This window comes from Homo sapiens, chromosome 20 (genome assembly GCF_000001405.40).
Source record: "Homo sapiens chromosome 20, GRCh38.p14 Primary Assembly".
NCBI lineage: Eukaryota > Metazoa > Chordata > Mammalia > Primates > Hominidae > Homo > Homo sapiens.
The window spans coordinates 52,202,006-52,214,505 of NC_000020.11; the positions used below are offsets into that span (position 1 = coordinate 52,202,006).

Below are 12,500 nucleotides of genomic sequence, written 5' to 3' on the forward strand. Positions count from 1 at the left end.
CTCACCACCACGCCCGGCTAATTTTTTTTTGTATTTTTAATAGAGACGGAGTTTCACCGTGTTAGCCAGGATGGTCTTGATCTCCTGACCTCGTGATCTGCCCGCCTCCTCCTCCCAAAGTGCTGGGATTACAGGCGTGAGCCACCGCGCCCGGCCCCTAATTTCTTTCAGAAAGCAACATTGTTACCAGTTTCTTGGTTGTTCTTCAGAACTTTCTGACATATATACAAAAAGACATACACATATTCATCGCCCCTAGTTTTTAAAAAAAACAAACAAATTATACTCTAATGCAAATAGCATTCTATACCCTGCTTTTTTGCACAACAATGTATCTTGAAAAATATTGCTTATCAGTGCATCCAGATTTGCCTCATTGCTTTAGGAAAAATTCAGTTTTTCACTGTACATGTGAAAATATACGTATATATGTATACATATATACGTATATTATACATGTAATATATACATATATGTATATATAGTACATGTACACATATACTAAAATTTAAGCAACTCATTAATGGACACTTTGTTTCTAGTTTTTGATTACTATAAACACAGCTGTAATGAATATCTATATTTGTATCTGTACATGAAAGAGTCTATCTGTAGACTAACTTGCTAAAATAGAATTGCTAGGTCAAAGGTGCATTTAACATTTTGACACTTTCAATGGGGTTGTACTGCGTAGAACTCCTACCAAGATCTTATGAGAGCACCTGTTTCCTACAGCCTCACTCACACAAAGTGCTATCCAGCCTCTGATTTTTTTTATCAATCTGATGGGTAAAATATGGTTTTCCATAGGGTTAATTTGCATATCTGAATTTAAATAAACAAAATCACATACTTAACACCCACCTCCAACAAATTACTAACAATTTGTAATTATTGACTCAGAAGAGGTGCAAGTACCATGCAGATATGGCAAAGGGGACACTTTGTTACAAAGTTTGAATGCCAAAGAGCACATCTGAAAGTTTAAGTGAACTTGTTGGGAGCCCCCATGTGTTAGAAGTTAGAATGTAACACTTGTGGGTATGAGTTTACAATTGTATTGATACAATTGTGTTTGATTTTCATTAAAATGTCCTAAGAAGGATTTTAGTAAGGGTCACACTGGCTACCAAGAATCAATAGTCCCCTAAATAGAAAGGCTCAAAGTCACAGAAACGTATTTCTCATTCTCAACAGTCTGAGCTAGGTGTTACCGTCAGTAGGAGGTTCTCCTTCAAAGGCCCGGACCTTTCAAATGGTTTTAATTACAGGTTAAAGATGAAATTCAAATCAGACCTTTGCTGAACTGTTGAAACACCTCCTGATACTGTGGTTTGAAAACCACTAATCTAATTCTCATTTTACAGAGGGGAAACAGAGGCCCTTTCCTTCTTACAGGAGTCCAAAGCTATTGATAGAAATTTTTAAAATTTTGTTTAAAAATGTTTGAGTACTTTTAAAAAATATCTTTTCATTTTGAAATAGTTTTAAGACTCACAAGAAGTTGCAAATATAGTTTAGTTTTCTCATATACCCTTCACCCAGCACGCTCCAATGAAAACATTGGATTCTTTTAGGGTTTAGGGTTGGAAAAAATCTTGAAATGATGATTAGTTTTAAATGCTCATTATTCATGCAAACGCTTAGCCTATTCAGAAAGTATCTGATACTTTCTTTTTTTGAGATGGAGTTTTTTGCTCTTGTTGCCCAGGCTGGAGTGCAATGGTGCGATCTCGGCTCGCTGCAACCTCCGCCTCATGGGTTCAAGCCATTCTCCTGCCTCAGCCTCCCGAGTAGCTGGGATTATAGGCGCCCGCCACCATGCCCGGTTAATTTTTGTATTTTTAGTAGAGATGGGGTTTCACCATGTTGGCCAGGCTGGTCTTGATCTCCTGACCTCCTGATCCGCCCACCTCGGCCTTCCAAAGCGTTGGAATTACAGGCATGAGCCACTGCCCCTGGCCTTATCTGATACTTTCTGATACAACGTATCTGATACAAATAGTATCAGATATCAAATACTTTCAGATAAGTATTTGATACAATTGTGTTTGATTTTCATTAAGATGTCCTAAGAAGGATTTTAGTAAGGGCCACACTGGCTACTAAAAATCAATAGTCCCCGAAGTAGAAAGGCTCAAAATCATAGAAACGTATTTCTCATTCTCAACAGTCTGAGAGAGATGTTACCGTCAGTAGGAGGTTCTCCATCAAAGGCCCGGACCCCTTCTGTCTTATGGCTCTGTCATCCCTTGGGGCTTGGCTTGGAGAAGGCCACTCACTTCCTACAGGCTTTGTCTGCCACACATCTATTTCCTGCTTAAGTGCCATTGGCAGAATCCAGTCACATGGTCCATCATGGAAGCAGGTGGGCAGGGCTGGGAAATGTAGCCTCTGGATGGGAAGCAGCTTCTCAGCTACAAAACTACGCTAAAGGTGTGGCAAATTTTGATAGATAATTGTCTCTGCCACAGAAAGGGTTTTCTACTTTTGCACATATAGAGATCGGTGGAGCTAGGTTTTAATTCAGAGAATTGTTATTTAGCTGACTCTAGTGGACTTTTCTCTCTCTCTCTCTCTCTCTCTCTCTCTCTCTCTCTCTCTCTCTCTCCTTTCTTTTTTTTAGACAGAGTCTTGCTCTGTTGCCCAGGCTGGAGTGCAGTGTTGTGATTTTGGCTCACTGCAACCTCTGCCTCCTGAGTTCAAGTGATTCTCATGCTTCAGCCTCCCAGGTAGCTGGAATTACAGGCATCCGCTACCATGCCTAGCTAATTTTTGTATTTTTAGTACAGACTGGGTTTTACCATGTTGGCCAGGCTGGTCTTGAACTCCTGAGCTCAAGTGATCCATCTGCCTTGGCCTCCCAAAGTGCTGGGATTACAGGTGTGAGCCACCACATCCAGCCTCTCGTGGACTTTTTTTTTGTTTTTTTTTATTTCGTCAGTCTGGCATCCCCTTCCTACTTCTGATAACAGGATTTTTGTTCTATGATTTCCTTTGGGGGAAATAGTTTCCCACTATTTCACATAATATTAATCACAATCTCCCATCACAGGGGTCACAAATGTGATCATGTCACCCAGACATAGCCATTATCTCCTATTGTACTGAATTATTTTGAAGCTCCTCCCAGCTTCTGTACCATGTAGTTTGTGCTATTTCTCATCTGAAATTCTGTTTCCCATTTGATTTCCTGGGATCATGTCTACTGCTTCCATTTGAGCTGAAGAACTGCCTTATATGGAACCTCTTTGAGGATCGCCTAGACTGATTTGGGATCCCCTCCCTAGATCCCTAAGTGTGGCTACATTCCAGCACTCACCACAGTGTATCGTATTGGTTGATTTGTTGGTCTGTACTTACCACAGTGTATTGTATTGGTTGATCTGTTGGTCTGTTTCAGTTAAGACACCTTTGGCAGCAAGCATCTTACCTGAAACTTTTCTTGGGTATGCCTCAAGATGCATATGCCATCAGTCCTTCCAGTAGCTGGAGAGGACTGGGTTTATTGGAGCTCTTAGACTGGTTACATTGGTCAGGACTAGTTTTTGGCTGGGGCTGTGCCCAGCCTCAGTGTAAACTATACATGACAATCTCATTTCCTTTGGCCAGTGATTGGGCTCCCAGTGGGCCAAGTTCTGCTCAATAAGACATAGAGGAAATCTCCTGATGGCTTTTGAGAATGATTTTCCTTCCTGGAAAGAAAGAGGCATGTGAGAAGAAAGCCCTTGCCTGCCCTCCTCCCCACCTCCATCCTTTCTGGTCTGGTCATTGCCATGGTAGACCTGGTTTCCAAGGCGGCAGCAGCCATGTGGTAGACATCCTCCGCAGGACTTGGGAGGAAGCTGGGACGCTGAGGTCGGTGGAGTAGAAGGATGAAAAGAAACTGGGTTCTTGCTGACAGTGCTGAGCCACTGAATTCACTCTAGGACCACCTACCTTCTGATTTTTCATTAAATATTGTAATAAATGGCCTTAGAATTTAAGACAGTTCTCCCCAAACTTATTCCCACTGGGACACATAATTAAAATGATAACAATTGTATAGCACACTGGGGTAAATGGCAGAAAATTTGGGACTTTGATATGGACATTGTTCACAGAAATTAATCATACTTCTGTATGTTGTTTTCTTAAAATATAAAAAATACAAAAAATAAAATAGGAAGTTTTAGAAAGAAGTAATGCATTTTTACAAAAACATTTTTTTTTTTAATTTTACATGAGAAACTTGAATTTGCTTTCATGGATAGAACTTTCCTGTGTCAGATTTTATGCTTAAAGCAACTACATGCAATTTCTGTTCAGGCCTTTTTAATGATGACCTGGCCACATATTTGATGGGCATTATCTACGAAAAGCTTTATTAGTACAAAGAAGCTACATAAAAATATAAAACTTTTTATTTTTTTTATTTTTTTGAGACAGGTTCTTTTTTTTTTTTTTTTTTTTTGAGATGGAGTTTCACTCTTGTTGCCCAGGCTGGAGTACAGTGGTGCAATCTTGGCTCACTGCAACCTCCACTTCCTGGGTTCAAGCAATTCTCCTGCCTCAGCCTCCCGAGTAGCTGGGATTACAGGCACCCACCACCACATCTGGCTAATTTTTTGTATTTTTAGTAGAGATGGGGTTTCATCATGTTGGCCAGGCTGGTCTCGAACTCCTGACCTCAGATCATCCACCTGTCTCAGCCTCCCAAAGTGTAAGGATTACAGGTGTGAGCCACCATGCCCGGCCGAGACAGGTTCTTGATGTGTTACCCAGGCTAGAGTACAGTAGTGCCACCATTGCTTACTGTAGCTTTGAATCCTTGGGCTCAAGCAATCCTCCCACCTTGGCCTTCTAAGTAGCTGGGATTACAGATGTATGCCACCATGCCTGGCTAATTTTTAATTTTTTTTTTTTAATAGAGGTAGTATCTTGCCCAGGCTGGACTCAAACTTCTGGACTGAAGTGATCCTCTCATCCTGGCCTCTCAAAGTGCTGGGATTACAGGCATGAGTCTTTGCACCTCGCCAAAACTAATTTTTGAAACATATTTTCAGAAACTCCCAATGCTAACATTTTATTTAAAGGCTTTACAAGCAAGCATCTTCTTTTCTTTCTTTGACAAATGTTGGTATTTGGGATTTCTTGTGATAATGCAGATGGCTTGCGAGTCCAGTGAAATTTTTATAGATGGAATACTAGCTATTTCACAATAGTGTAAAGTGCCCACTGGCAGAACACACAAGCCTGGTTAGATCAATTCCCTGCTGCTAGCTTGGATTCACTAAAAGGGCACAGATGAGAAAGTACAGAAGTAACTAGGTTATATAAAGACATAAATCAGAACAACTACCTGGTAATGAACTCAGCGGGAGTTCTGGCCAGACCTCCAACCAATGCCGTGTTAGCTTGGACCTCATGTTCCTTGGCATTTGGAACACAAATCCCCCCAGCAGTTCCATTGCCCCTTAGGCACTGTACACAGCAGCAAGCCTTGCAACTGGCCACTAAGGCAGATGTCTGGCTGGTGGAACACCTTTTGACCACATTGCATGCATCAAGCACTGTCAGCACTGTTCAGTGGAGGACCTAATTGAAGACTGGTACTGCTTTTTGGCATGGAAGGTCCATACCTATTGTATTTGTCAGGATGCATCTGGTTGCTAATGGAAAAAACCCAAATTTGAACTGGCTTTAAACAAAGGAGGGAACATGACTTTAGCTTCAGAGATGGCTTCTGGGAATACATCATCAGGGATGGCTCTCTCTCTTTCTTAGCCATGATTTAGAAAAAAAAAAATTGTTTTTGCTTCATCATGTGAAATTAAAACTTTTTTCTTTTTGAGATAGTCTTGCTCTGTCACCCAGGCTGGAGTCCAGTGTTGCGATCTTGGTTCACTGCAACCTCTGTCTCCTGGGTTCAAGCCATTTTCCTGTCTTAGCCTCCCGAGTAGCTGGGATTACAAGCGCCCACCGCCGCAGCTGGCTAATTTTTGTATTTTTAATAGGGACGGGGTTTCACCATGTTGGCCAGGCTGGTCTCGAACTCCTGACCTCGAGTGATCCACCCACCTCGGCCTCCCAAAGTGCTGGGATTACAGGCGTGAGCCACTGCGCCCAGCCTAGTTTCAACTTTTATCTACATTATAAAGGCACATAGTTTAAAGAGTTAAATACTCTACCAGGCTTGTTATGAAAAAGATCTTCTCATCCCTATTTCCCAGGCCTCAAAGGAATTATGGTGTAATTATGTTTAGACAAATATTCAATGTTTACATTATGTAAATAGTAGTCACAGCTGAGCCATAGTACATTCTGATTACTTTTCCTTTTCTGCACAACTTTTTGTTTTCATTAGAGTTAAAAAAAATTATTTTCTGTTTGTTTGGTTACTTTTCTATGCACTAAATCATCTGAATTATTCACCACTGGTTGTGTAAATTTCCTCTCAATGTACTCAAACACATTACAATCTCTATCAATTTGGTCTTTCTGAAGAGGATTCTTCAATCTGGATTGGGGCAGCTGAGCAGTGGTTGTCTTAGGATATTTTCTTCATGGTTATCCTGGAATTTCTTACATTTCTTCCTAATGAGAGATCCTCTGGTTTTATAGACTTTATGTGTTCACTTTTTCAGTTTTTTACCTTTTTTTTGGTGTATTAGACTTCTGTGACAATGTACAAGTGAGGTACATTTTAAGATTTAACACGTATATTTTCATACTTTATTGATAATTTGCTTTTAAAATTCTTTGCTAGTTAGAATATTACTCAGTGGTGAAAAGAAGCAAACTATTGATACATGTAAAAACTTGGATGAATCTCGAAGACATTACATTGATAAGAAGAGCCAGTTTCAAAAGGTTACATACTGTGTGATTCCATTTATATGAGGTTCTCTAAAAGACAAAACAATGGTGATGGAGAAGAGATCAGTAGTTGTCAGGGTTTAAGGGTGAAGGGAGGGTCTCACTACAAATGGACCACAGGAGTTTTTTGGGGTGATGGAAATGTTCTGTATTCTGATCTTGGTGGTGGTTATGATACGGCTCTGATGAGTGCAGGAACACCAGGGCTCTTGTCTCACGCGAATTGGATAAAACGACACAGACACACGTGAAGTGGTTTTAAGGAACGGAGAGTTTAACAGGCAAGAAAAAAGGGAGAAGAAAGAAGGAGGAAGCTCCCCTGTACAGAGACAGAGGGAGGGGGGCTCCAAAGCCAAGAGAGGAGATCCCAAGTGTGGCAGATACCAGCCAGTTATAGGAGGAGGCTGGAGGAGATGGAGTCTGATTTGCATAGGGCTCAGGGGATTGGTTTGACCAGGCATGTCATTATGTGGCCCACGAAAAAACTGGCCCTCCCACCCTAGTCTTTTAATATGCAAATGAAGGTCGTCATGATGTTCTATACATGTTGGGATATGTGGGGGTGGCCAAGTTGCCAGGCACATGTAGGGCAAGGGCAAGAGGATAACTGTGGGAATTGCCATGTTTGGGCGGACCCGGTTTCTAATGGCCTGCATTTGCATATCAAAGGTTGCCAACCTGGCTCTAAGAGATGGGGCTTTCCTGCTATCAGAAACGTTTTTGGAGCTGCTTTAAAAGAAACGAAAACTTCCCAAAGACCCCTTTTCCTCTCTATCTGCCTAAAATAATTTCTTAATAACTCCTATAACAGTTAAACAAATCTATATATGTTAAAAATTGTAGAACTGTACACTGAAAAGTCATTGCGTATAAGTTTAAAAATAAAACAAAGAATTATGCATTATAAAGGTACAGTTGATTCTTACATTCTATAAAGTCATCACGAACACTGAATTTGTGAATACTGAACCATTGCTCCTAGGGGAAGTATAAGGTTAGGTTCTTGTGAACCCCAGGTACAACATCTGCATCAGCCAATCAATACATAACTTTATTTTATGTGTGTTTCTAAAGACACCTTATTTAATGTATAGTGTGATCCATTATCATTAAACTCACAGCCAACAGCACTGTAATGCATGCCTGAAGGAAGCTCATCTAACCCACTGATATTCTCTGAGGCACATTGCAGCCTTCTTGCACTTAGGAACACTAGACCACACTTCCTTTCTAAGCTTGGGGGGTGTTTCAAACAGTGAACTCACCAACAAAAGGCACGAAAATGCAAAAGAAGATGCAGCACAGCATTAAATAGACTGTAAAGAGGACCCTTGCTTGCAGTACGGGATGTGGTCCAAGAATGCAGAGTGCTGCCTCCTTCAACCTCAGCTGGGACTGTGTGCATTGGGCAAGTCAAATTTTTTCTTGCTCTGTGCATGTCCATGAAAGCACCGGGAGCATTGATTTTGAGATTGCAAACTAGTTTTAGTGGGTAATGCAAGGCACTTGTATTGGTTCGAACCCCGAGCGCACGCCAACAGACAACACAAGGCGGTGTGGAGCAACACGCTGTTTTAATAAGCGCCCGAGCGCCGGCGGGCTGAGGCCTAAAATGGCGTCAGCCCGAAACGGGGACGGGGCAGGGGTTTTATAGTCTCCTGTTAACAGGACGTGTCTGACGTAACTGCTACGCTTACCCAGACGGCCTCTCTCTTGGTCTTCGGCGGGTACGTGTCTTCCGGCCAGCTCTCTTCCGCTTCTGCTGTCTTGATGACGCACAGTGCTGGCGCAAGTCGTCTTGCGCCAGGCGACTGGGTCTGAGGAGGCAGGAGTTATTCATTCCCTTAAGCTTTCAGGCCGGGGGGAGAATCTTTCAGGTAAGCAAATTTGCATATATTGAACTCACAAGTAATGAGAACTGACTGTAATTGACCCTTAGAAATTTGAAGGTAGGGCCGGGCACGGTGGCTTGTACCTGTAATCCCAGCAGTTTGGGAGGCCGAGGTGGGAGGATCTCTTGTGCCCAGGAATTCAAGACCAGCCTGGGCAACATAGTGAAACCCGTTTCTACAAAAAAATTAAAAGATTAGCCGGTGTGGTGGGGCGCACCTTTAATCCCAGCTACTCAGGAGGCTGAGGTGAGTGGATCGCTTGAGCCTGGGAGGAGGAGGTGGCAGTGAGCCGAGATTACACCGTTGCACTCCAGCCTGGACAACTGAGTGAAACTTGGTCTCAAAAAAAAAAAAAAAAAAAAAAAAAGAAATTCGAAGGTATTACCCTGTTGTCCTTGAGTTTCTCATGTTGCTGGTGATATAACTCTGATGCTATTCTGATTGTTACATCTCTCAATGGAAACTTCATTATTTTCACCAGCTTATAGCTACTTTCCTTGCTCCTTAGTAATCTAAAACTTGATGATAGTATTTATTGGTTGGATCTATTTCCACATATTGCATGTGATACTCACGCCTACCATCTAATAAATCCTGTTCTCTGCGGGTTCTGGGACAATTTATTAACATTTTTTCTGCCCTTCTGGTTTTTTTGTTCTCTGTCTGGAACTCCTGGTGTTTGGAATAGGAACTCTTGCACTAGTCCTGTCATTTTTAAATTTATCTTTTCTCCCCGTTTTGCATGTCTTGGTCTTTCTGCTCAACTTTCTGGAATATTTCCTTAACTTTATTTTTCAAGCTTTCTATTAAATTTTTCATTTCTGCTGTCATATTTTTAATTTCTCAGAACCTTTTCTACCATTTGAATGAAAACAAATTGGCATCTTATTCTTATTTCGTGAGTGTGGTATTTTCTCTTACCTCTCTGAGGATGTTAATGTTTTGAGGGAGGAACCTTTTTCCTTCTCCCAGTTTTGGTTTCACCCATGTGGCCTGTCTTTTTTCTGTTTGGTTGTTTTGGCCTTTGGCTCTCAGGTTTGCTCGAAGGTCTTGTGCTCCTTGGCTGTCTGATCTTATTTATTTAGTTATTATTTTTTGAGATGTAGTCTCACTGTTGCCCAGGCTGGAGTGCAGTGGTGCCATCTCAGCTCACTGCAACGTCTGCCTCCCGGGTTTCAGGGAGGTTCCTGCCTCAGCCTCCCGAGTAGATGGAATTACAGGCACCCACCATGCCTGACTAATGTTTGCATTTTTAGTAGAGACGGGTTTCACTGTGTTGGCCAGGCTGGTCTCGAACTCCTGACCTCAGGTGGTCTGCCCACCTCGGCCTCCCAGAGTGCTAGGAGTCTGATCTTATTTTAGAAGGAGGTGCTGAAGAGCTGATTGATAATTCTGAGAACGCAGGGTAGGGGTGGGTGGCTTGTCAAGCTTAAGTATCAGTGCAGGGTGACCTGGCTGGGGTGTGTCCTACCTGCTCCAAAATATCAGTGTATTTCGTTTTCCTTTTTCTGCACTGGGTGCATTTCTCAGAGCAGACCGGATCACTCTCCTGCCTAGAGGATACAATCCCTCCTGCCAGTGCTTTTGGGACATGCTAGGGAAGGAAGGTTGCAGAGGTCTCAGCAATCCGTATATAAGCTTCCCCCCGTACCCCCTGCTTAGTCCCTGTACCTGAAGCTCCCTGTCCAGAGACTCTCTCTTTTATCCTCTCAAAAGAATAAAGTGCAGTCATCTGAACAGGACAGAGGCTGTCAGATGCCCGTGGCATGGGAGAGGAAACCTGGGATCTAACTCTTTCTTTGATTTTCAAACACTCTTTCTATTTTTTGCCCCACTTATGCCTCCAACCTGCAGAGATATCTGGTGCTACTCATTCCTGAATGTTTCAAGGCCCTGCAGGACACTTGGGTTCTTTCTCTTTTTCTTTTTTTTTTTTTGTTTTTCTTTTGCCTTTTTCCCACTGACAGCTTGGGATTCAGTTTTCCTGAGTCTGCTAATCCAGTTATCACTTGTTCATCTACTTTCCAGTGTTAAAAGCTAGTTTTTTAAAAAAAGGTAAAATTGTAACTCTCAGGAAAAAAAATGAACACACATGAAAGATTTTATTGAACTCATGAATGAGGAAGCTGGTGAGGTGTTAGAACCAGCTCAAAGGAGAACGCAAAGAGCAGATCAGAAATTTGAAATTCACTGATCAGAAATTTGAAATGAATTTGCAAACAGAGGAGTATCAGTTTCCTACTGCTGCTGTTACAAATTGCTTCAAATTTAGTGGCTTAAAATACTAAGTGGCTGTGAACCCCAAATATCTGAGACAAGTCTCAGTCAAATTAGAAAGTTTATTTTTTGAAGGTTAAGGACACACCTGTGACACAGCTTCAGGAGGTCCTGACGTCATGCACCCAAGGGGGTTGGGGTACAGCTTGCTTTTGTACATTTTAGCGAGATGTGAAACATCAATCAATATGTGAAAGATTACATTGGTTCTGTCTGGTAAGGTGGGTCAGCTAGAGGTGGGGGCTTCCAGGTCATAAGTAGAAAAGAGACAAAAGGTTGCATTCTTTTGAGTCCTTGATCAGCCTTCCACTAAATACACAATTTAGTCTGGCTCATTAAATCTGCATTTTTACACAAACATAAGGCAGAAGAAGCAATCATATATGCATTTGTCTCTGGTGAGCCTGAGAGGGATGACTGAGTTCTGTCTGTCCTTTGTCCACAAGGAATTTCCTTGTGGGCAAATTGTGAGGGAGGTATATAGCTTTTTATCTTTGTAACTATCCTATTTAGGAATAAAATGGGAGGCAGGTTTGCCTGACATAATTCCCAGCTTGACTTTTCCCTTGTCTTAGTGATTTTGGAGTCCCAAGATTTATTTTCCATTGCTTCTCAGCCTTTTGGCTAAGATCGAGATTTATTTTCCTTTCCTATGGCTTATTAGCTTACAGTTCTGGTGGTAAAAAAAATCCTAAAACCAAAGACTGCCTTCCTTCTGGAGGCTCTAGAGAAGAATCCATTTCCTTGCCTTTTCCAGCTTCTGGAGGCCGCCTGCATTCCCTGGCTTGTGGCCCCTTCCATCTTCAAAGCCAACAGCATCGCGTCTGCAAATCTCTCTGACCACTGTTTCCATTGTCACATCAACTCTGACTCTGACACACCAGCTTCTCCCTTCTAGAGACCCCTCTGACTACAGTGGACCTACCCAGATAACCCAGGATGATTTCTCCATCTCAAGATCATTAACTTCTTCACATTTGCAAAGTCCTTTTTGCCATGTTAGGTAACATACTCACGGTTTCTGTGGATATGATGTGCAGCGGGTGGGAGCATTATTCTATCTACCATAGAAGGCAAACTGATTTTTCCACGAATGGGTGTGGGAGCAGGAGATAGGCGGAGAATTCTATCCCTTTCACTGGACAGAATCCATTTGCAAGTCTACAGACAAGAATTATTTTGCATTGCTAGTAGATCTACAGCTTACAGAGTTGTAAAAGCTCCCATAAAATCAGAATGGGATTGTGTGGAGGGTGTCTTACTGTCAGTGGGTAGTTTTCCTTTGAAACATACATTTCTTGCCATGCCAGATTTCACCATTTCATTGCTTTTGCTGCTTCTCCCATTTCCTTTAACCTAGTGAGTTTATACCTTAACAAAAGACTGTTTCTGATGTTTAGTGGTATTGGGTAAAAAGGAACAGATCATCAATGCATTCAGCGTCTAGCTTTTTCCCAGCTCTGCTTTCCTTTC

At 42.0% G+C, this 12,500-nt stretch overlaps 1 long non-coding RNA gene across 3 annotated transcripts in view, besides 3 other annotated features; it reads left to right on the forward strand.

Annotated features, from left to right (window-relative positions):
• Positions 1,614 to 1,807: a silencer, noted in NCBI's record as "fragment chr20:50820158-50820351 (GRCh37/hg19 assembly coordinates)". NCBI's record gives its function as "represses an EF-1alpha promoter that drives an FKBP-Casp9 reporter gene in an ReSE screen in K562 erythroleukemia cells {active_cell/tissue: K562}" and the evidence as "EXISTENCE:reporter gene assay evidence [ECO:0000049][PMID:32094911]".
• Positions 7,154 to 7,784: an enhancer, noted in NCBI's record as "OCT4-NANOG hESC enhancer chr20:50825698-50826328 (GRCh37/hg19 assembly coordinates)". NCBI's record gives its function as "activates a minimal SCP1, AML or CMV promoter by ChIP-STARR-seq in primed H9 embryonic stem cells {active_cell/tissue: H9 hESC(primed)}" and the evidence as "EXISTENCE:reporter gene assay evidence [ECO:0000049][PMID:30033119]".
• Positions 7,969 to 8,503: an enhancer, noted in NCBI's record as "H3K4me1 hESC enhancer chr20:50826513-50827047 (GRCh37/hg19 assembly coordinates)". NCBI's record gives its function as "activates a minimal SCP1, AML or CMV promoter by ChIP-STARR-seq in primed H9 embryonic stem cells {active_cell/tissue: H9 hESC(primed)}" and the evidence as "EXISTENCE:reporter gene assay evidence [ECO:0000049][PMID:30033119]".
• Positions 8,638 to 12,500, forward strand: part of LOC105372666 (uncharacterized) — a 483,513-nt gene continuing 479,650 nt past the window's right edge. For all 3 annotated transcript variants that reach the window (XR_007067652.1, XR_001754670.2, XR_001754671.2), the window contains exon 1: positions 8,638 to 8,735. This is a non-coding gene — a long non-coding RNA (uncharacterized LOC105372666). The remainder of the gene's footprint in view (positions 8,736 to 12,500) is intronic.